This window comes from Homo sapiens, chromosome 6 (assembly GCF_000001405.40).
Source record: "Homo sapiens chromosome 6, GRCh38.p14 Primary Assembly".
In the NCBI taxonomy this organism is placed as follows: domain Eukaryota; kingdom Metazoa; phylum Chordata; class Mammalia; order Primates; family Hominidae; genus Homo; species Homo sapiens.
Genome location: NC_000006.12, coordinates 53,263,699 through 53,288,470, shown reverse-complemented (window position 1 = coordinate 53,288,470; position 24,772 = coordinate 53,263,699). Strand labels below are relative to the sequence as shown.

General features: G+C 42.0%; 1 protein-coding gene and 1 non-coding gene across 5 annotated transcripts in view, besides 1 other annotated feature; one reads left to right on the top strand and one right to left on the bottom strand.

The window, feature by feature from the left end:
- ELOVL5 (ELOVL fatty acid elongase 5) overlaps positions 1-21,067 on the top strand; it is an 81,547-nt gene extending 60,480 nt beyond the window's left edge. For 2 of the 4 annotated variants that reach the window (NM_021814.5, NM_001301856.2), the window contains exons 4-8: positions 12,215-12,292; positions 13,210-13,381; positions 15,127-15,251; positions 17,744-17,878; positions 19,201-21,067. In NM_021814.5, coding sequence (NP_068586.1) covers positions 12,215-12,292; positions 13,210-13,381; positions 15,127-15,251; positions 17,744-17,878; positions 19,201-19,344 — 654 coding nt within the window. In that variant the 3' untranslated portion in view covers positions 19,345-21,067. Of the gene's footprint in view, positions 1-528; positions 610-12,214; positions 12,293-13,209; positions 13,382-15,126; positions 15,252-17,743; positions 17,879-19,200 lie in introns of all 4 variants that reach the window. The other 2 variants (NM_001242828.2, NM_001242830.2) reach the window with 2 other exon arrangements.
- Positions 5,213-5,382: an enhancer, noted in NCBI's record as "experimental_92203 CRE fragment used in MPRA reporter constructs". NCBI's record gives its function as "activates a minimal promoter by MPRAs in K562 erythroleukemia cells, with activity observed for the non-introgressed 6:53147972 variant allele {active_cell/tissue: K562}" and the evidence as "EXISTENCE:reporter gene assay evidence [ECO:0000049][PMID:34662402]".
- MIR5685 (microRNA 5685) lies at positions 11,400-11,478 on the bottom strand. The gene has a single exon (NR_049866.1). It is a non-coding gene; the product is annotated as a microRNA 5685 (primary transcript).

Genomic DNA, 24,772 nt, shown 5'->3' with positions numbered 1-24,772 from the left:
ATAGCAATCCTTTTTGCTTTTGCTTATTAGGGGTTGTCTAATATCACAGTCCATGGTGAAAGCTCGGAAATGAAATTCCAGGTTATAGAAGAGAAACAACTTAGTTTGCATTAGTTACTTAGCTTTGTAAAACGATGCCCTTACAGCAAACTTAAAAATCTTGTGCGCCTTTTAGCCACCCGAGATTCAGGGCATTTGTCCTCTGAAGAGAAGCCTGATTTTTTGCACTATCCATGTGTCTTTTCTCTTGTCTCCAGTCCCAAAATTGAGAACCTCTACATACATGGTGCCAAACGGTGGCTTTCCCTCACTCTGCCTTATCTACCTGGTTGGATCAGGTTTCCCCTGACCCATCCAGTGAGCTATCAAAGCCACTTTTAACTCCTTTGTTAGAGTGTTACAGGTGGTTTCCCTCTTAGGCAGATGCTCTGTCCTCATGTGAAGCCATTCAATGTGTCTACTCTTCTCCTGCTGTGCCTCAGACCTCTTAGACCCTAAGCAGAGAGGATCTAATTGTGTTTGTTACAGTCCAAAAGGGAGCAACCCCGTCGATCTGCCTGTGCCTCACGAACTGATCCTTCGACTCAGCAGCAGCTGCCAGAAAACAGGGTCAGTGTTGTGCAGTGCACATGGCTTTGAATTCCCCAGGAACACTGTGTTGAAAGGATGGCTGGCTCCTTTCCTCAGAAGGAGGCACTCCGGCCTTTCTTAGCCGATCTGTTATGCTGAGCTCTACTCAAACCCCAGCAACACCAGGCTCTTTCATTCTTCTGGGCTCTACCCCTTAAAACTCCCACTTCTGCCTGGCAGTCTCCCTCTCACTTTTGAGGACTGTGTGGAAGGATCCAATTCCTCTGTGAAGCCATGAGCGTACTAAGGAAGAGGACTCAACTCTAGAGAGTGAATTTTTTTTTCTCCCAGCCTCTTTGGCTATCCCATTGTTCCCACGGACTATGATGCATTCCTTTCAAAGTACTCTCATGATGTGCCCCTTAGCATCCCATCCTTGCCCCACTGACACTCACTGGCTTAGGCTAGAATGAAACAATGTTTTCCCCACCTTCTTCATCCCACTGTTACTATACCTGATTACTCCACCAAATGGATCCTGAGTATTAGAATACAAAAATAAGCAAATGTCGGAACCACATTTTCAAGTTATTTAGTAGTCAAAGATAAATCATGGGTTACAGACAAGATTATTTTTTGAGTATCTGTGTATGTTTCCTCCCTTGCAGTTAGAACTATATGTTGTGAATAGTGTGAGAGAATGCGCTTTAAAATATTCAGAACATTTAAAATGTAATTTTGAAAGAAAAAAATTTGTAATTTTGAAAAAGCTGGATGGATGCATCTGGCTTGGCATAAATCCAAACTTATCTTTCTTCCCCTTTTCAATTTTTATTTTAAATTGTAATTTTGGAACTATTTGAAAATATTTAAAATAAAATTATATAGATGATATCTGTGCACCTAACAAATGCTTGATTTTTGTTTGTTTGTTTAAATAAGAAAACATTACAAAAATGCATCTAAAGTACAGTCCCTTTCCAGACTTCTTCGGAAATTTGTACAGTTTTTCTCTGGATGTATTTTTACTACATATATATGTATACATGACAACACATAGTACGTTCTAAGATAGTTTTTAAAAACCATACGTGAATGGTATACTAATTAAACTCTTTTTCAAATAGATTTTTTTCAGTCAGTATATTTTTGACCAATTCATCTTGAGTCGTATAGATGTAATTCATTAATTATAATTATGTTAATTATAGTTAATTAGAAATTCATTTTATCTGCTTTGTATTATTTCAGTGTTGGAATTTATTACACCATTTTATAAGTGTTTCTTTGGATGGATATGTATGTTGTTAGATTGTTTTTTGTTGTTGTTTTTTGAGACAGAGTCCGGCTCTGTTACCCCGGCTGGAGTTCAGTGGCACAATCATACCTCACCCACTGCAGCCTAGAACTCCTGGCCTTAAGCGATCCTCCCACCTCAGCCTCCTGAGTAGCTGGGACTACAGGCATGTGCCACCATGCCTGGCTAATTTTTTTATTTTTGGTAGAAACATTGTCTCACGGTGTTGCCTGGACTGATCTCAAACTCCTGGACTCAAAGTGATCCTCCCACATCAGCCTCCCAAAGTGCTAGGATTACAGGTGTGAGCCACTGTGCCCAGCTATGTGGGTTTATGCAAGTTGTTCAATTAACAGTGTGCCAAGAATCTTCTTAGACATATCTCCTTATGCAAATATGGTAAGTTTTTTGACCAGATAAATGCATAGGGGTTTAATGACTGAATCCGACAGTCTCTTGTCTTTAATGGGGAAATTTAATTCATTTTCATTTAGCATGTTAATAGTTATTTTATACCTCAGATATTGCAGCATTAGTTGCAGATCACTGCAATAAAATGAGTATTGCAATAAAGTAAGTCATACCATTTTTGGTTTCGCAGTGCATATAAAAGTTATGTTTACATTATGGTCTATTAAGTGTGCAATCGCATTAAATCTTAAAAAAAAACAGTAGACATACCTAAATTTAAAAATGCTGGCCAGGCACAATGGTGTACATCTGTAATCCTAGCACTTTGAGAGGCCGAGGTGGGAGAATTGCTTGAGGCCAGGAGTTTGAGACCAGCCTGGGCAACATAGCAAGATCCTCTCTCTACAAAAAATTTTATAACTAGCCTGGCATGGCTCGAGCTTGTTGTCCTAGCTACTTGGGAGGCCGAGGTGGGAGGATGGCTTGTGCCCAGGAGCTCAAGGTTCCGGTGAGCTATGACCACACCACTGCACTCCAGCCTGGGTGACAGAGTAAAACCCTATTTATAAGAAAAAAAAGATAAATTAAAAATAAAAATGCTCCCAGGTGCAGTGGTATGTGCTACAGTTTAGTGTAGCCATGTTCGTCAGTGATCTTAGTTAAATCTTCCAGATAACTGGCTGCAGCTTCTATAGCAGCACTTGCTGCTACACCTTGCCCTTTTGTGTTATGGAGATGACTTCTTCCCTTAAACCTTATGAGCTATCCTCTGCTATTTTCAAGCTTTTCTTCTGCAGCTTCATCACCTCTCCCAGGCTTCACAGAATTGAAGTGAGTTAGTGGCTTGCTCTGGATTAGATTTTGGCTTAAGGGAATGTTATGGCTGGTTTGATCTTCTACCTAGACCACTCAAACTTTCAGCAATAAGGCTACTAATGCTTTCTCATCATTTTTATGTTCATACGAGTAGCACTTTTAATTTCCTTCAGTAACTTTTCCTTTGCATTCACAACGTGGCTAACCTGGTACGAGAGGCCCAGCTTTCGTCCTGTCTCAGCTTTCCACCTGCCTTCCTCACTAAGCTTAATCATTTCTAGCTTTTGATGTAAAGTGAGAGACATGCTACTCTTCCTTTCACTTCAGCACTTAGAGGCCATTGTAGGATTATTAACCCAATTTCAATATTGTTGTATCTCAGGAAATAAGGAGGCCAGAGAAGAAAGAGATGGTTAGGGGGAACAGCAAGTCTGTGGAGCAGCTAAAATACAGACAATATTTGTTGAGTTTGCTGTCTTATATAGGTGTGGTTCATGGCACCTCAAAACAATTACAATGGTAACATCAAAGTTCAGTAACCACACACAGATCGCCACAACAGATATAATAATAGTGAAAAAATTTGAAATATTTTGAGAAATATTTTATAATTGTGAGAATTACAAAAATGTGACACAGTAACACATAGTGAACACGTGCTGTTGTAAAAATGGTACCAATAGAGTTGCTTAATGCAGAGTTGCCACAGACCTCAGTTAAGAAAACCTGTAATATATACAAAGTGCAATAAAGCAAAGATGAGGTATGCCTGTACTTTCTGTCACCTTTTTTGTGTATATATGTTTTCTTTGGCCTTCTTTTCTCCTTTACTGCTTTGTAGAATTTTTGTAACCATTATTTTTTATTGTACTTATTCAAAAGTTATTCATTCTGTTGAGTGGTTACCCATAGATGTTTACCATGCATTTTTAACTTACGACAGTTTCAGTTGAGTCAGTATTTCTATTCTCCTAAACAATACCAGGGACCTTAGAGGATTCTAGCTGTGACCCCTCATCTTTCATGTTACTGTTGTCAGGAGTTATTTCTACCTTTTTTTTTAAAAAAAAAAAAAGATGGTCTTGCTCTGTTGCCCAGGCTGAAGTGCAGTGACATGGTCATAGCTCATTGTAACCTCAAACTCCTGGGCACAAGTGATCTTCCTGCCTCAGCCTCCCAGGCAGCTGGGACTGCAGGAGCATGCCACTGTGCCCAGCTAATATTTTTATTTTTTGTAGAGATGGAGTCTCACTTTGTTGCCCAAGCTGGTCTCAAATTCCTGGGCTCTGGCAGTCCTCCCACCCTGGCCTCCCAAAGCACTAGGATTACAGGCGTGAGCCACCACATCTGGCCTCACTTTTTTTTTTTTTTAAGGTCCTAAATAATCACCATTATTGCCATCAGTGTTTACTGATTTTCTTTGCTCTGTGAAATTTATTCTTTCCTTTTTGATTCAATTTTTTTCGTAAGTAGTTCTTTCTATGAAGGGCAATATCTTAGTCTGAGTGTCATGTTATTTGCCTTTACACTTGAATAATATTTTATCAAGGCATAGAATTCTAGATTAACAGTTATTTTTCCTCAGCACTTTGAAGATTTATTCCAGAGAAGTCTGCTGTGGTCCCACTTTTGCTCATTTGTAGGGTAATCTTTTTTTCTTTCTAGGCACTTTGAAAATTTTGCATTCTTCCATTCACTCCTACTTCCTTCATTTGTTTTTAATCTGTTTCATCCATCTATTGTGTTTTTAGTTTAAATGGCTATGTATCTTTTACTTCTGAAAGTTCACTGCTTGCTCTTTTTTTATTCCATAACATGGAAGTATTGTCCCCCCCAGTGATATAGATTAGATGACAGTGATCTCCAAATTTAACCATTTGCTGTGTTGCCTTTTTAAGTATTCTATTAAAAGCTTGCTTACAGATATATCTGTGAGGTAATGCCTCTGGGATAATTATTGTCTGTGTTAAATTTCTTTACCTCCTAAAACAGAAGTAAAGGTTTGCCTAGTGTTCTGTGTAAGCATCCCAAACTAGTATTGTTGGGGGTCATCTCAGGTAAACATGCCTTTTCCACATAAAGATTTTGGAAGGAGTTGAATTTAAGCTGATTTCTCTTTTTCTAAAGAATAATTTGTTGTGGGGACCTCCCTCGCATTATAGGTAAGAATTGATTGTGTTGGAGTTTTTGCTGTGTTTTATACCACTTTCCTACCTGTGTTTATAGTGAGAGAGTTGGTTCTGCTTTTGTTCAGTTTGCCACGTTGCTAGAACCAGAAGTCAGTTTTTTTTCCTTTGAATTTGTTTTGAAAATTTGTGATGCTTTTTTATTGGAAAGATGAAAGAAGTTGAGCATTTGGTGACTGAATGCTTTGTTTGTGCTTTCTAACCTCTGTAATTGTGGGCTGTGAAAGCATCTCCCCAGGCTCTGGGTTTGAAGGCCATCTGATGGAACCACAGAGCAGTTGCTTTGGAAACATAATATTCTAAACTGGTTGTTTTTCTTTCCCTTCAGGCTTTCCTAAAATAGATACGTTATTGTGGGAAAATAGGATTTGGAAAAACACTTAAGCAACCTGGCAATTGATTATTGAATTTTATTTGAAAAATAACTTTGTTTACCAAAATACTTTGAAAAGGCTATTTGCTGTTCTTTTTCCCATTTAGCAGAGGTATAGAGCAGTTGAAACATCTGGTGAAATTAGTACTTACAAGAAATGCCTGATCATTGCCTAGAATACTTTTCACTCTTAGTTTCCTTACAACTAAAATTCCTTGCTGAGAAAGAAACTTCTCTCAGGGCCTGAAAGGAAACAGTTAGTTGTCCCTAGTGTATCTGACACTGCCCTGAGAGAATGCCTCACGGTAGGGAGAATGGAGAGAAGGATGCAGCTCAAACATCCTTCATTCCTCACCCACACCCAGGGGAGGGGAAGGGAATACTTTCTACAGAGAGGAAGCCTTCTGGCTTGTCCAGAGCCAGGCCTCACTCCTCTAAACTTGCCCCTGCAACACCTGGAGAGCTTGGCTCTGCAGCTGGTGTAGCTAGGAGCACATCACTCTACAGATCCTCAACTAAAGTGGACTTAACTCTGCAAAGCAGGCGTCAGTGGGTAGGCTGGAGACCTTCCTTTAAATGACACAAATTATACTTTGGCTGGGACATCCAGCACCACCTTAGCCCTAGTTGGAAGCAAAAGTACTTAACATTTGCCTAAGATCATAGCAAAGACAGATAGTGCCTACCTTATGTCAGGTATTGGGCTAACTAATCTAATGCTTATTGCACTCTTACCATCTGCTTTCTACAGAGGGAAAGTTCTGGGAGGCCTGAACAGGGAGAACTGCTAGCATAAGAGGGCAGGGCTTGAGGATTCAGGGAAAATGCCAGACATACCTGTTTCAGTTTGGATTGAGGACAGGCTGTTTCTTTGTGTTTTGTTTTAAAGACTTCTCAAGTGTACAGAACCTGTCTTTTTTAACTTAGCCAAGAGTGTTACGTTCAGCTATAACCCAGGGGTATTCCTGTTCACAAGGAGAAGGAAAAAAAAAAAACACCTGTGGAGGTCATGGGTGTGAAATTATCTTAATGGGCATCCTTATGCTCTGGACATGAAAGATTTGAAATGTAAAAACCACATGCTTTGACCTGGCACTCCCTAATAGCACTGCGAAAATTGGCCAACTAAACCCTAGAGGAAATAGGTACTTTCAATTTTGAGTAGTTCATGGTTAATTTTAAACCAAACATCTGCGGAAGAAAAAGATGCAGTTAAAGGTCTGCTTTTCCACAGAATTCTTCATGGACAGAGTATCCCTACCATGTTCTTACTAAGAATTCAAAAACAGATGAAGAAGGGCAAAGATGCTTGGAACTGCTGTTTGAGGTGCATTTGGACTGAGAGTCAGGATTCCTTTGTGCTAATCCCAGTGGTACCAAGACCTGGGCCATCCTTATCACTTCTCATTCCCTGTTTTCTCATTAAAAATACGAGCTTGTACCAGATCTAAAAAATACACAGTTGAGGACTCACACAGAAACAAAGCTATGAAGAGGGTCAACCCTACGTATTCTTGGAGATTTTGCTTAGAAAAGCACCTTAGGTCCTGTGATGTAGTTGAACTTGAGTATGGATAGTCTATTTTTCATTACTTTTTACCCCATTTCTGCATAGGAGGTAGTAAACATGCAGCTTCATCAAGCTCTTATCACCAGAAGCAGCCAGTCTTCTTTGGAAAGGGGTTATCTTGTTGCTCTGACATCTTGGGATGCTGATGTTAATGGCTGATAAGGGCCACCCAAGATGATGTTTTCCTCCTTTTTCTTTAAGTGTTTCCAGTGACCTTGTTTCCTGAGATGTTTCAGTAGCATTCCAGAAAGTGCCATGGAAATGGTTATTATGCTAAAGGTTACAAGTTGTTTGTGGTTAAATGTGTTATTAGATGGGAAAAGTCAACTCACCGTTAAAAATGATTCACTCCTGGCTGGGTGCAGGGGCTCACACCTGGAATCCCAGCACTTTGGGTGGCCAAGGCAAGCAGATCACTGGAGCTCAGGAGTTTAAGACCAGCCTGCGCAACATGGTGAAACCCCATCTTTACAACAAAAATATAAAAATTAGCCGGGCATGACAGCGTGCACCTGTAGTCTCAGCTACTTGGGAGGCTGAGGTAGGAGGATGGCTTGAGCCCAGGAAGTGGAGGTTGCAGTGAGCTGAGATTGTGCCACTGCACACCAGCCTGAGCAACACAGCCAGGCCCTGTCTCAAAGAAAAAAGATTCACTCCATGAATTATGTCATCCAGAACCAGGTGTGAAACTCACCTACATTTTTTTCTTTCATTGAAAAGGTGCATGAAACCATCAGGGTTATTGACTTTATCTCATATGGAGAAAAGAGCTTGTAGCTAGGTTTTAATTATAGCTCTGCACATCCTCTTGGCCTAATTAAAGTTTGCTTTACTCCAAGGAAGGAGGAAGTGTATAAAGCTTTGCAGTGGTACTGTTTGTATCTCAGTTCCTCAGAAAAAAGCCTGCAAATAATGCCCCTGGGTGGTTCTTGGAGTTGGCAGTGGTATGGAAAATTTCGTTAGGTAGTGGTTAGCTGTTTGTGATGGCCTGCTTTTTCATTATAGTATAGTCCTGTCCTCTTTCGATCTGATTCTCAGAAGCCCAAGGTAGACAGACACCTGCCCCTATTTTCAGTACTTCACCTTCTCCAGCCTACTGGGTCCTCTCACCCTGTGGTGTCTACTTAACACGCAACTTGAAGAATTTCTGGGAAATTGACCAAAACAGCTCTTTGGAAAGAAGCTAGGCCTCAGTCCCAAAGGGAAAGGTGGCTGATGTGACTTTGACTTGAGGATTGTCTCCTGTGATGTGCTCCTAGTGGGGCTACAGGGGTCAGTCCTTTGCTTTGAGCACCTCTGTAGTCCACTACCCATGGACACATTGCTATCCTCTGAGGGGGATGGAGGGAGTAGAGCCCTCTACTGCTAGCCCATTTTATGGAGGTTTGATGAGGGTCTTAGGTGAATAAGCTTCAACTCAGGTCCTTGGTCTTGGTTTGTTAAATTATTCTATCCTTTCTGAAGCCAGGGAGATTTGAGAATTTCCATGACCCCATTATGAAATTGATGATGAAGAGTTTTCATCTTGTGAACAGAGTTCAGATGAATATGATCACAAAGTCAAGCCTCGTTTAAAATACTATGAAGCTCTCTTTATTGCTGCACATGAAACATTAGGCCTAGATTTAGGGGAAAGAATTGGCAGTCTTGAACTCTTTGTCATTTGTTTAGCAAATATTTGTTTGACATCTCTGGTACGCTAATCCCTGTGCTGGAATATGTTGATGCAGATGCAGGAGCCACAGTCACCACCCTTCGAAATCTTACAGAAGAGCACACAACAGGCCCATTAACAAAGGGAGCATGTGAGCAAACAGCTACAGGTCACTGCAAGGTGAGGGTAGAGGAAGGAGAATAGACCTCAGGCTCTAGTGCTCAAGGGAGTAATCATGAAGAAAATAGAATTTTAACTGAACTTTGAAGGATAGATAGGATTTTGAGAGCTGGAGATGGGGGTACATAGGTGCAGAGGGCATTCTAGTTGAAAAGAATAAAACAGTGGTCACTGCCAACACTTATGTTTAATCCTATGAACCACATTGGGTGAGACAGGCATTATGTACTTCATGGTGGGAGCCTTATGTTTATCCCATTTGAGGACTGAGAAAACTGAAGTTTAAAATGTTGGAATACCTTAGCTAAGGTCACCTAGCAAAACGTGAAAAAGCTAGGGTTTAATGGGCTAATGCCCAAACCCATGCTCTTTCCCCTTGGCTACTGTGTAGCGGTTAAGGAAGGGCATGTTTGGAGAATGGGAAGAGGTCCAATTTGTGTGCACGTAGGGGAGAAGTGAAAGATAAGCTTGGGACCACGTTGTGGAAGACTAAATACCTGGACACTGCACCTAGGATTCAGGGTTTCATTCTGAAGGCAATGATGACTCACTGGAGGGTTTTAAATATGGAAATATGGAATTCAGTGGTTTGAGGGGCACAGCGGCCCCAGTGGAAGTGTGGTAGGTGTGAGTAGCAGTGGAGGGAGTGTTGCATTGAAGCATGACAGAGCTCCTACAGGGAACCTCAACAGGTGGAAGAGGAATGGTGGGCCTAGGTCAAGTGGAGTGGCACCGAGTGAGCAGCTTCTTGTGTGTATACCTGGTTTATGCTTCAGGAGTGAAAAAAGTTCACCACCCAATACTGAGGTTTGAGTTCTTTAACTAAACTCCAAAGACAACAGGTGTTTTATACATGGATTCCCCTGCCCCATTTATGGGTGGGGAGAGGGCAAATGGAACGTTAGGTTAACTAGTTTAAAGAGTCAAGGCAATCCCACCTGGATCCCTTCTTAAAAAGGAAGCCTGTGTCCAAGAGTCCCTTCTGCTGAGTTAACAAGACCCCTTCAACCCGTTCTCATCTTTGGGATTGAGGCGCCTGCAGAATTACAAGAGAGGATTTGTCCTCCTCTTCTCCAGAGAGCTACCTTGATTTTCCCCACCCCTGCCAAGATAGACATTCATGAATGCAGTCATCCACACCTCCACAAGTGCACACACACCAGCCATCCTATTTTAAAACAGACAAAAGCAAAACCAACCCAGGATGTCTCTGGACACCATAAACCAAAATAGTCGCTGGAAAAAACAGTGATGGTAGGTTCCAGATTTAAGATTCATAAAATGGTAACATTTCCAAAAATATCTCTGATGAAGACAGTCATATGTTAGTACGTTTTTAATTTTGCCAAGAGAGGCTGCTGTTTTAAAAAAGAGGATCTTTTACATTGCACGAATTTATCTTCATGAAAACCTTACTGCGTTGTCCTTATTTTTCTTATTCGCGGTTGTCCCACAAACATTTCATCAAGAAGCACCAGTTTCCTTTCTGTACCCTCAAGCCACAGGAGGTAGTTCCTTGGTTCCCTCCTGGGGTAGAAAGAAGGGCAGCAAAAAGAGCACTGTGCTAAGCTGGCCCTTCCCTCTCCACCCCAGGTCTCAAGAGTGCATGCCAGCTTCCTCCCCCGACCTCCAACGCACTTTGGATTCAGACTTTGTGTCTTGCTTCTTAGGACTTCTGATCAGCCTGCATGGATCCTGCTTGACTGGCCATGACTTTAGAGAGTAGTAGAAGACAGAAAAGTTAATACACCTTCTAATGAATTACCATGTGGGTACTGATCTTTCAAAGATAGTATAGAATAGTTTGTTGTGTGGTCTGTTTTTAAAGTCTGTTAACATGAAGCTACAGAAATTTGGAACAGACCCTTTAGAGATAATTTAGTCCAACCTCATCATTTTATAGTAAAAACAACAAAAGCCCACAGGAATTAGCTGGCTTGCCCCAGGTGCTGGGCCTGGCACTCAAGCCTTCCTCCTAATTCCATGGCTCTTCATCATGAACTGATGCTTCTCCCATGCTAAATCCTTGTGCTCTTCTTTGGCCATGAAAAGCCTGTTAACTCTCAGTGCTTTTTTATGTGTAGAAGGTGACAAAGCAGAAGGAAAATGGCAAGAAGAAAGATAACCAAAGAAAAATCAGATAGAAGGCAGGATACCCAGCGTGAGTGCAGCGGCTACACCCATTTTTTGCCATTTATTTCTGATGTCAGACCAGGTGGAAATATCACAAGGTGTCTTCAGATCCTTGTAATCACCTCTTGTTCCCTGGGGGGGAATCTGTGTTGCTCGCCAAGCTAAACTCTTGTGTTCAAGGACAGGGAACACAAGAATTGGGGTGCAGACTCTACATCACAGCCCTGCAGTTATCACGGGCCCATTGAGGGGAGGGGCCCGTGATAACTGCTGGGCTGTGATGTAGAGCCTGTACCCCAGTTCTGGGGTCCTCTCTGTGACAGCATAGTGCCTACTGTGCTGCAAGTGATTCTGAGGCATGGGCACTTGTGAAGCCTTCAGTTTGTGAAGCCTAATTCATGGATCCGGAGGATTGTACATACAACAACAGGAAATAATGAAGATAAAGTTGGACTAAATTATCCCTGAGCCTACAGCAGTGGTTCTCAAAGTATGGTTTCCACATCAGCAGCATCAGTATCACCTGGACCTTGTTAGACATACAAATTCTAGGCCCCCAGACCTACTGGAACAGAAACACCCCCAGGGACCCATGTTTTACTAACTCACCCCTCAGGTAATTCTGGTGCTGCACACTCAAGTTTGAGGAGCACTGGCTTAGGGAAAGCAGCCAGAGGCTTCTGTGGGGCAGAGCAGGGAGCCTGTGATTGGCTTGGTCTGGGCACTTGTGCTAGGACCAAGGGGGTGACGGGCTGAGGGTTCTGCAGAGAAGCAGCGTGGTAAAGGAAGGTCTCTGAGGGCAGCAGCCTGGGAGTGACTTTTAAGCCCACCCCTTAGGAAATTGAGACTCAAGTCATTAAAGCTTTCCTTTTGTTTACACTTGCCTACAATTGTTTTTTCTCAGAGCAAACTTGGCTCAGCACAGCCCAAGGTAAATTATCACAGATTCTGCAACTAATAAAGTTCAATGAGGACTTTACATGGCTCAGATGCTGTTGGTGACTGGCTCTTTCTTCTTTTTTAGTTAGTAACAGGAGTATGGGAAGGCAAATACAACTTCTTCTGTCAGGGCACACGCACCGCAGGAGAATCAGATATGAAGGTACTGTCTCTTTTTCAGAAACTTTATTATTATAAGTGTTGAGTTTTTAAAAATAAATTGTATAAAATACAAAATGGCCCATAACCTCACTGCCCAGGCAATCCCTGTTGATATTTTTAAAAGAATAAAAAAGGCAATATATACACATCAAATTAAAATTTGAATGTGAAAGGTATAAAATAAAACCTAAAGCATCCCCCTCTGTAAAAATAACTCCGGTTAACAATTGGCAGGAAAAATCACATGCAGTCAGTATGTTATATTTACACAATCAGGATCATAAGAGCAATGTCTTAAATTTTTAAAATCATTCATCCAAGTACTTTTTTCCGAGTAGTGGTGTTAAAAATAAAATCTGACTTCCACTCATGAGGTTTGTTTTAAATCACAGGCCAACAGTCGCAGCTCAGCATGGGCAGTCATCTCCTTAGAGCACTTGTTTGACATGTTTAATTGGGCAGAGACCTGACACTGCAGGTTCTGATTCCTTTTCTTCTGTGTCACTTATCAGGTCGGCTGCTCCATGTTAGTCCCTGAAATCAATAGCGTTTTTCAGATGGTTTTCCTTTGCTAATGGCTGTGCAGGCTGCTTCCAGAGGGAATAGGCAGACTTCAAGGTTTTGAACCTTGAGCCTCATGTTTTTGTTAGTCTCAAAGAGTGTCAGGGACCCTTTCAAAAATATTCCCTGTAGTCATTTCAAACCCCTCCAGCTGTCCCAACCCAATCATGTTCTTTGGTTAAAGGTACTTGGAGAGTGACCATAGCTCCCAGCCACTGATGGACATTAAGAGCTCTTGGGGCACTCGGGCTTCTCCGAGTTGACATCAGATTTTTGGATATTAGTGAAACATGTCAGAGGTGATATTCCAGAGAAGCCGTGAGGATAAGCCTTAAATCTTTGACCCTTTCCTCTTAGATTATCCGTGTCCTCTGGTGGTACTACTTCTCCAAACTCATAGAATTTATGGACACTTTCTTCTTCATCCTGCGCAAGAACAACCACCAGATCACGGTCCTGCACGTCTACCACCATGCCTCGATGCTGAACATCTGGTGGTTTGTGATGAACTGGGTCCCCTGCGGCCACTGTAAGTATTAGAGACGGGGACTTGGGGAACAGGTGTGAGCAGGGAGGAGAGTTGAAACTAAGGCTTTCAGAAAAGGTGCTGTTTCTGTAAATGTCTAGGTCAGGCTTTCAGCTTTGTGTTCAAGTTGCTTTTAATGATAGTTTATGTACCTATGCACACAAAACCCTTTTTTAGTTAAGTGAACTTTCTGTGCTGATTGGGTGAGATGAGGGAGATACCACTGGGGACATATTAAGGAATAGGTACAATATTCTCTGACTTAGAGGGCAACTTTCCAGGTTCTTTCTGGTCCTTCTGTATGGTGTGGAAGGTTTGAGACGGGCAGGTGAGGAAAATAGGATCACACTGTTGCATGAGTACCAGGGAGCAAGGCTCATTTTGAAATACAGCTTTAGCTGTCATGCATTAGGAAGTCTCCACATGTTCTAACAACCCTCATATTCCCTGAAGCATGGTGATCAAGGTGTCTTCTATAACGAGCACCAAAACTTGATATAAATTTTCTAAGGTTGTACTTGGTTTTTGGAAAGCTTGTAGTCCAAAGTTTCTTATAATTTTCAGAGATTGCCACCTTCAGATTCAGCCTGGGAGTTTTAGCAAATGTCTCAGTCAAAAGTCCCGTCATCCAAACACTGAAGAATTTAACTGAGAACCTATGGGTCTATTTATGGATATTTTTTTCTCTGGGATAGCACTGCCCTTGATTACCTGAGCCTGCTAAGATTCACAGTGTCATGGAATTCCAGAGCTAGGAAAAAAAAAAAGCTTTCCAAATACAGATCCTTTGGGTTTGGGAGGAAACTAAGACCACAGAAAGGTGGGTAGAGTTGGGGCTTTCTGCTCTTCCTCCCACTGTCAGAGCTCATGATGGTGGATTAACTGACCTAACTTTCTAATAGAAACAGCCCCTCCCTACATTTGAAGAGTGCTTTAAATTTTCAGAGAACTTTCAGGAGGACAGATTTAATCAGCTCCACTTGGGCCATGAGAAACTGAACCAGGGAATGGATGTGATGTGTCCAAAGTCAAAAGCCAGTTCCTATCATAGCCAGGAGTAGAAACTTCCCTAACACCAGGCTGTGCACCTGCAACTGCACAGGGAAAAGCCAGATGGCTTGGTTTGGTTGCTGACTGTTGGGGAGGAGGACAGAGTCTGGAAAAAGAACTAGTGGTCCTACTGAACATTGAAAATGATGTGATAAGATGGCTCTTTTATCTCTAAGGAGCTAGACTCTTGACTCTATTATTAATAAAAATGTATGACCTCAGCACTGCAGTCCTGGGAAATAATTAGAAGATGGCTTCAGAGACCTCTCCACACCCCAGCAAATGTATAGAAACAACCATTTTTGAGCATATTGCCCATCAGCTGTCTTCCACAGCCTTCAGAGAGCATATTTGGGCAGTTGTGCATGTAAAGAAAAACAGCTGTCTCTGAGAGTGGGTGGGCATCTGCAGCAAAGCCTGTAGGTGCTGGGATGGCGTCGTGGCTTCAGTGTCAGATGCCCCTCTAGCAGCTACAGCTGACCCCTGGGCTCGGAGCCTCCTGGTGGCTGCCTGCCCAAGTGGAAATTGAATTCTCATTACACATCCATGCATTGCTTGCTGTTGCAGTGTTTGTCAGCTCCGTTGGAAGTCATCTCTCTTTCTGATTCAAAAAGAATCTTGTATTTTTTTTTTTTTTACCACCTGTTCTGTTTAAAACACTAATACATTCTCCTTCCCAAATCCCTCTGTTCCTGCAGCTTATTTTGGTGCCACACTTAATAGCTTCATCCACGTCCTCATGTACTCTTACTATGGTTTGTCGTCAGTCCCTTCCATGCGTCCATACCTCTGGTGGAAGAAGTACATCACTCAGGGGCAGCTGGTGAGTGACTTGGCCTCTTTCCCCAGGACTTACTTCCTGGTGGATACAGACCTCTTCCTGGCTTTAGTGTTATGTAATAGCATCTAAGATGCCCCTTCTCCACCCTTTTTCATTTGATGTAATTAAATTCCTTGAAGTGGGTAGATTAGGGAATTTTCTTGTTTTGAACTGATAGTGAACTGTGACCATGGGCATACAGCTAGTTGAATTGTACAAAGAGGTCTAGAATCTAATTTGCCAACTTCAAGTTCAGCTCTTCTGAGTTTTTGCACATAAGCACATATGCATGTATGTGTGTATATGTGTGTGTGTTTTCTAATTATAGTCCAAAATCCAAAATGAAAATTGTATGTTTCCAGGGGTTTTAGAAGGAGCTGGAGAGTAGTATGGAGTCCAGGGTATGTGTAGCCCATTACTAGGCAGCAAGGATATTTGTTTGGCAGGTATGGATGACCCCTCAGCCCCCATGCAGTGGAGCACCTGTTGGTGAGGATGGCAGCTGTTTGCTTCAGTTAACAGCTCCTCCCCTGGTTTACTGCCAGGGCCAGGCCACTTCACCTGATACTTCTCACCATCCTTGATTAAGCCTTCTGCATTCATCAGTATATTATAGGTAACCTCTTTCTCTCCTCTCATGAATTCGTCTATGAACTAATTAATACTACTACTGCTCATATTAAACACTGACATTTCCTAAGTGTTTAGCACATGTTGGGTACTCATACTAAGTACATGATTTTACATAGATTGTTCCAGTAGCCTGATTTCATATTATTGTCCCCAAGCCAGGCACAGTGGCTCACGCCTGTAATCACAGCATTTTGGGAGGTCGAGGCAGGAGGATCACTTGAGGCCAGGAGTTTAAGACCAGCCTGGGGAACATAGTGAGGCCCTGTCTCTACCAAAAAGAAAAACACATATTATTGTCCCTATTTTATAGATGACACTGAGTCAATAGGCCAAAGCTAGCTGACTGAGGGGTGTGGACATTAAACCCTTTGCCCTGTCCTTGCATTATTAACACATTTTTCTAAACACACCAAGCTGATTCAGATCCCTTCAAGTCAATTATGATTTTTCAATATTTAAAAATAACAATCTGAAAAAAAAGTCTGAGAAAATCTTAGAGACTGAAGTGTTTGATGTTTCATTTTCACCTCTCTGCCAGCTGCTATATGGTCCTTGTTAATTTTTTCTCACCCACCTGTGAAAAAGGAAAATTGTTGATTAACCTCCTTGTTATACTTGAGGAGAAATGATGCAGAAATTGATTTATACCACAGTTTTGGGTCTGGCGGAAGCAGAATTTAAAAGAACAGACTGGCAAAGTTGGTCTCCCGTTAGGCTCTGTACTTTGAGGTGGAAGATTAAACCTACCCAGGTTGTCAGGATTTATTTTAAGCACCACTCCTAGTTATTCCTCAGTCTGCAGTACTAACCTTAAAAAAGAGAAGGCAAACAGCCAGGCACAGTGGGTCATGGCTTGGAGTCCCGGTCACTCGGGAGGCTGAGGTAGAAGGATCTCTTGAACCTGAGAGTTTGAGGCCACCCTGGGCAACATAGACCCTGTCTCAAAAATTAAAAACAAAAAACTCTACATAGAAACATTGGAGCTGCTAGAAATACAGTGTGCAGAGCCTAGCCCTTTTTTTGGGGGGAGGGGCAGGGGTTGAGCTGGAGTCTCGCTCTGTCACCAGGCTGGAGTGCAGTGGCGCGATCTCGGTTCGCTGCAACCTCTGCCTCCTGGGTTCAAGCAATTCTCCTATCTCAGCCTCCCAAGTAGCTGGGACTACCGGCGTGTGCCACCATACCCAGCTAATTTTTGTATTTTTAGTAGAGACAGGGTTTCACCATTTTGGCCAGGATGGTGTTGATCTCTTGACCTTGTGATCCGCCAGCCTCGGCCTCCCAAAGTGCTGGAATTACAGGCGTGAGCCACCACGCCCGGCCTGAGCCTAGCCCTTTTTAAAACATCTTTCCACCATTTCTCTAACCAGTTCACATGCGTTTCAAGGTTTATTCATCAAAATTAATCAATGCACTTAGTGTTGTTTGCCAGTAAAGGTTTAAATCTACTCATCAGCCTTCACCAAACCAGAAGCGTCCATGGATAAGGAGTTGGAAGGATGTCCAGCCAGGTGGCACATCCTGCAGTGATGTTATCAGTGCCCTTTCAACATACACACTTGCTCTTCCTTCTCAAAAAATAAAAACAAAAAGTCTTGGATGTCTCTATAGTGTATCCTTGAAATTTGGAGAAGGTAGTTTAAATAGCTTGGAGGGCAGAGGAAGAATATATATAAGACAAACACACCTAGAGTTTAGGATAAGTATAGTGTATGTGTTGTGTTCATGAAGTGACTGCTGTACCTGCAGCAAGGGTAGTAAGTGTTAATTCAGAAATTTAGGTGATGCTGGTTAAAAAGTCTGCCTGGTGTGGGGCCTCGTCCATGCACTGTCCCTGTTCAGCTGCATCCCCTCTGTTCCCCTAGCTTCAGTTTGTGCTGACAATCATCCAGACCAGCTGCGGGGTCATCTGGCCGTGCACATTCCCTCTTGGTTGGTTGTATTTCCAGATTGGATACATGATTTCCCTGATTGCTCTCTTCACAAACTTCTACATTCAGGTAAATCTCACCCTTCTCTGGGACTTGGAATCTGGGGCCTTTACCAACAAAGGCCCTCATCTATTTACTTAATGGGCATGTGGAGCCCTTGCTGGGTGACAGGCTCTGGCCTCTAATGGAGTCACTATGACAAGAGCAGCCCCTGCCTCTGGGGGGCTCACAGCTCACTGGAAGACACTAGAATCCTGTTCTAGAGCCTGGGTGAGGAAGTCTTGGGATTCCCCTGGGAAATGGAAAACTGTGCAGCAGGACCCTATGTTGCTTCCCTCTGACCTGCAGCAGAGACGTGAGAGGTGATTTCAATCAGAAATCTCTCAGTTCACTACCCTGAACGTCATGGCCAAATGAAATTTCAGAAGAGATTTTTATCACAGTCCTCAGATATGGAGATCTGCTTTTTTGTCCCAGCTTTCTTATACATTCAGTCTTCAGGTGTGAGGATTCGGTTCATTCCTAAGCATATGATGTGGTGATGTAGGTCTTTGCTCACAGAAAGATCCATTTAGGGCAGATAATTTCCAGTGGAGCCTGACCACGTTGCAGCCACTGCTGATTCTCCTGCCATGCGTCACCCCCCAGATGACATGTGTCCTGCCTTTGTTGCCAGTGCCTGGTAGCCATAAGGCCTGCTGATCTGGGCAAAACACGGAGGTCAGGAGCAAGGGCAGAGGCTGCAAGTCCCGAGGCTCAGACATTTGTCCTTTCTTCTTCTGTGCCCACAAGCACCTGTGTGTGGCATGTTGAGTTTCAGTGGAAGTCATATACTTCTGGGCTTCATAGTTTATGGCTGCACTGTGGGACATACACCAGCTACAAGGAAGGTGAAAGGATAGGACCCGATGAAGCTGAAATCACATTTATTCTAACTACTTATAGCAGCATAGCACTTTGTTCATGAAGGCTGAGATAGTCGCCGAGGCAGTGAGGAACTTTTGAAGACGAACAAGGGATGTGGGTGTCAAGAGAGCTGCTGCCAGGTGGGAAAGACCAATTTGGCCACATAACCCCTGTCATCTGCCATCCAGATACTAAAAGGCAAAGCAAAGTGTAAATTGAATTTTCTATGTGACATTTTAAATAGTATTTCTGTTGCAGCCTGTGATTCAGTTAACTTACCTCAGGCTAAGCCTCAAAAAAAAAAAGGAAGAATGATTGAAACCAGTGACAAAAGATTTAGTCAATGAGGACTTGACCTCAGGAGTTTCTCCTTGATAAGATTTGATCTTGAAACTAGGCCTAGTGTTAGGGATGCAATTCTCAGTAAAGTTCCCTATAAAGAAAACTGTGGTCATTTGGTTCTCATCTGCCCTTACACATTTTAGACCTACAACAAGAAAGGGGCCTCCCGAAGGAAAGACCACCTGAAGGACCACCAGAATGGGTCCATGGCTGCTGTGAATGGACACACCAACAGCTTTTCACCCCTGGAAAACAATGTGAAGCCAAGGAAGCTGCGGAAGGATTGAAGTCAAAGAATTGAAACCCTCCAAACCACGTCATCTGATTGTAAGCACAATATGAGTTGTGCCCCAATGCTCGTTAACAGCTGCTGTAACTAGTCTGGCCTACAATAGTGTGATTCATGTAGGACTTCTTTCATCAATTCAAAACCCCTAGAAAACGTATACAGATTATATAAGTAGGGATAAGATTTCTAACATTTCTGGGCTCTCTGACCCCTGCGCTAGACTGTGGAAAGGGAGTATTATTATAGTATACAACACTGCTGTTGCCTTATTAGTTATAACATGATAGGTGCTGAATTGTGATTCACAATTTAAAAACACTGTAATCCAAACTTTTTTTTTTAACTGTAGATCATGCATGTGATTGTAAATGTAAATTTGTACAATGTTGTTATGGTAGAGAAACACACATGCCTTAAAATTTAAAAAGCAGGGCCCAAAGCTTATTAGTTTAAATTAGGGTATGTTTCAAGTTTGTATTAATTTGTAATAGCTCTGTTTAGAAAAAATCAAAGACCATGATTTATGAAACTAATGTGACATAATTTCCAGTGACTTGTTGATGTGAAATCAGACACGGCACCTTCAGTTTTGTACTATTGGCTTTGAATCAAGCAGGCTCAAATCTAGTGGAACAGTCAGTTTAACTTTTTAACAGATCTTATTTTTTTATTTTGAGTGCCACTATTAATGTAAAAAGGGGGGGGCTCTACAGCAGTCGTGATGAAACTTAAATATATATTCTTTGTCCTCGAGATTTTAGGAAGGGTGTAGGGTGAGTAGGCCATTTTTAATTTCTGAAGTGCTAAGTGTTTTTATACAGCAAACAAAAAGTCAATTTTGCTTTCCACCAGTGCGAGAGAGGATGTATACTTTTCAAGAGAGATGATTGCCTATTTACCGTTTGACAGAGTCCCGTAGATGAGCAATGGGGAACTGGTTGCCAGGGTCTAAATTTGGATTGATTTATGCACTGTTATCTGTTTTGACACAGATTTCCTTGTAAAATGTGCCTAGTTTACCAAAATTAACAAAGGGGGGGAAAGGACCTTAGAACTTTTTAAGGTAAAATCAAATATAGCTACAGCATAAGAGAATCGAGAAATTTGATAGAGGTAACTTGTTTAATGTAAATCTAATAGTACTTGTAATTTCTTTCTGCTTAGAATCTAAAGATGTGTTTAGAACCTCTTGTTTAAAAATAATAGACTGCTTATCATAAAATCACATCTCACACATTTGAGGCAGTGGTCAAACAGGTAAAGCCTATGATGTGTGTCATTTTAAAGTGTCGGAATTTAGCCTCTGAATACCTTCTCCATTGGGGGAAAGATATTCTTGGAACCACTCATGACATATCTTAGAAGGTCATTGACAATGTATAAACTAATTGTTGGTTTGATATTTATGTAAATATCAGTTTACCATGCTTTAATTTTGCACATTCGTACTATAGGGAGCCTATTGGTTCTCTATTAGTCTTGTGGGTTTTCTGTTTGAAAAGGAGTCATGGCATCTGTTTACATTTACCTTATCAAACCTAGAATGTGTATATTTATAAATGTATGTCTTCATTGCTAGGTACTAATTTGCAGATGTCTTTACATATTTCAATACAGAAACTATAACATTCAATAGTGTGCTGTCAAAGTGTGCTTAGCTCACCTGGATATACCTACATTGTTAAATGTCTAAACAGTAATCATTAAAACATTTTTGATTACCTGTGCCTGCATTTTACATTTTTTGTGCTGGCAATTCTGAAGAACTGGAGAAAAATCCACTTAATTCACTGTCTAGGAACTTACACAAATGGATATAAATAATTCAGTTAGGAAGGCCATATTATTGCTTAGTTCTCAATGAGGAAGGACCCTGCATAATAAGGCATAGTGGTGGTTCCACCCTAATGCTGTCCCCTCTGCCTCCTCCAGGTAATCCCACTAAAGGTTCCAGCTCTAAATATGCTCCTTTGTCCTTCCTCCCCATTGGCCCCAATCTCTCCCCTTACCCTGAGAATGTTAGAATTACTTTCCTAGGTCTAGACCATAGGTCTTCTGCAAAATTTTTTTCTGGAAAGAACCAGTTGGAAAATATTTCAGGCTTTGCAGGACATACAGTCCCTGTTGCAGCCACTTGACTGTGCCATCGTGGAGCACAAAAACAGCCATAGACAATATGTAAATGAATGGGCATGGCTGTGTTCTAATAAAACTTTATTTACAGGCTTGGAAAACATAGCAAGACCTCATCTCTACATAAAATTTTTAAAAATTAACTGGGCATGGTGGTACATACCAGCAGTCCCAGCTACTCAGGAGGATGAGGCCAAAGATCGCCTGAACCCATGAGTTCGAAGTTACGGTGAGCTAGGGTCATGTGACTGCACTCCAGCCTGGGCAACAGAGTGAGACCCCATCTCTTTAAAAAAAAAAATTACAAAACAGAAGGCCTGTGCCTATAGTTTGCTGACCTCTACTCTAGAGTAATGAGGTCCCCTCCCCTTGGACCTAAAGCTCAATCATTTTATTTGCCAAAGATCATTTTATGTCCCAGATTGTGGCCCTTCCCAGCGTACCCTACTTATTTTGAATTTACAGGTACATTCACGTCTACAACAGGAGAGATGACATGGATGGTCCATCTTCCTTCCATCTACTTCATACCATATGGTCCCCAGTATAGGCTCTTAGGTACTAAACTAGAAAGCACCTAAGAGCCAAGACTAAGCCTATACCGTTTTAAATGAGTGCTCATGAAAGTCATGTTAGTTGCTGAAATTACCTGCGGATGTGACTGCAGAATTGTCAGAACTCCAGAGAAATGTCACCTAAAACTGCATTTAGTACTTGGGATATTATCCAGAAGGTGTAAGAGGATTGTTGGGGAGTTGATGGGAATAAATTATATCCCTGTCTTTCCCCTCTAAGTTCAGAACAAATTGAAAAAATACTGGAAATTAGACCAGTAGGAATCAAAATAGCATGTGTCTTACTAAGAAGGCTGGATTGGTGAAACTAAGACCACAGTGTGGCTCTCTAATTAACCCTTGCTAATAACTCTATTAACCTAACTTACCAGGGCTCAGTAGCACACCAGTGGTTGCTCTGAGGGTTGGTCTGGTGATAAAGTGATTATTAAAATATATTAAATATCAGTCCTGGAATTTACCTACCTTAAATTGTAAACTCCCCTTGTGGCAGATTCTACACTGATGACCTTACCATGCCAAGAAAGTGTGCTTAGCTGCACCTCCCAAGCAGCAATCAAAGTCTTCCCTCCTCCCGTCAGAGAAGTGAGTGGATAAGAGGCGAGAGAGAGGGCAGATGTGTTCTGCTGTCCTTTTTCTTGTATGGAAAAGGGAGGATTCCCATTTCTCCCTCTATTTTTGGCAGCCTTGCTAATCATGTGAAGGGCATTGTAGACTAATATGAGAAGTACAACTTGGAGACCACATTGGCTGGGTTGAAATCCTACCTGTATGACCTTTTGGCAAGAAAACTTTGCCTTAGTTTTCTCTTCTGCCAAATAGGAGTAATGTTAGTTTCTATGTTACAGGGTCCTTGTAAGGATTAAATAGATGACTAATGATACTGTATATATAAAGCCTTTGGAACCCCATCTAGCTCAGAGTAAAGTGTAAGTGATAACTTCAGGATTGTAATCTCAACTCACCCCACTGGTCTCTTTCAGCTGTAAGCTATTGTTTCACTGTTATTTCCCTGGTTGGCTGCTCTAGTAATCCTATCCAAAAAAAGGGAAGGAAGTTATTTCGTGTGACATTTTCTTTGTTAAATCAGTGTTGAAAAGAAATCAGCAATTGTTAGGAGTCAAATGTTCACCGTCTATATTATTCCTGATTTTGCCAGAGTTTTACATTAAGTTCACCATTCTGGAGTTTTTAGAATCTACTTTGGAAAATAGGGCAGTGATTATCAGTATCTGGACTTCGTTCATTGTTTCCCTGGAGTTCTGACAACAATTCTGCAGTCATATCCACAGGTTGTTTCAGCGACTGACATGTCTTTCATGAGAACTCGTTTAAAACAGGTGTTTCCTGCTATCCCCTTATCACTCTTGGACTTCAAATCCTAACCAGGTTTTTCTTTACACTCTTTAATTTGGAAATGATTGTCCTCAGTGGAGCAGATGGAGCCAAATAGTGGTTGCTGTCAGTTTTTTGCTCTGCTCTTCAGCATTGCTTCATTGGCCATTAGTTCTTACTCCAGGCATAGATTTAAAACCTGCTTTTGTTATCCTTGACATTTTTGTAGTCCTTATCTTCTCTCTTTCTTCGGTATGTTTATGGCTCATGAAAAGAAAGTTCCTGGGCCAGTTTTTGCTATAGCTTGCAGAGGATGTCTGGATTCGACTCTTGATCAGATCAAGGAAGACTTCTGGGGTGGAAATTGTAGGAACAAGCAGTGCAGGATCCAGTGAATGGCTAATGTAGTGGTGACAGAGACCCAGTTGTAATGCTTCCCTTTCTCACATAATCAGGACTCTCCTGAACAGTACCTACCACCCTGTCTGTTGCCCCATTTATGTTACTCTGTTGGCCAGGCCTTTGCAGAATGTGACCTTGTTCACTGGGAGAGTGCTTGGTACAGAGGACTGAGCTAGGTGTATTGAGCAAACAGGGATCTGTGAGAAAACAACCGGCCCTCGCAGGAGCCTCTACTGAATTGGGATCAAACATACACACATGTGCCTTCTGTGTAAAATGGTTGTGGTGACTGCCGTAAACTGGTATAAACCAGCTACCATGAGAGTCCAGGGAGGGAGAACCCTTCTAGCAAGGGTGGGTAAGAAAAGCACTGTAAAGGAGTTGGCTTTTAATCTGAGCATTCAGAGACCATCTGGGTTTCAGTAGTTGGAGCCTGAAGGTGCTGGGAAGACAGCATTCCACATACAGGAACCAGTATGAGCAAATGCATAGAAGGCCCAGAGGGAGATGACACACTGCACTCGAGTGGATCTGTGGGTGAAACTGCTTGTTTTAAAAATGAGGTCAAGTGGGAAGAGAGTGGAATTTGTCTGGGTGTTCTCCTTGATGAAATGTGTAGAATGTTGTTCAGAGCTCCCAGAGGAAGTAGTGATTATGTGTAAAGGAACCATTCTGAGCAGAGCCTCCTGTCACTGGCCTGTGCCCTAGCCGTCCTGCTCCCATCACCAGCAGTGCCAGGGAGGAGCCAGAACATGATGATAACGAGAACCAGGACTCACATTAGTCTCAGTTATAAGCTGATGGAGTCTTCTGTCAGATAGGGCAGGTTCAAAGGGTACCTCAGACCTTTGCCAGAAAATTGCTCCTCACCAAAGAGATGGCATTTGAAATCTGAAAACGGGACCCCTGATGGGATGAGTCGGGATTGAAATCCCACATTGGCTCATAAACAAATATTTCTTAAATGATTGTGTCCACACA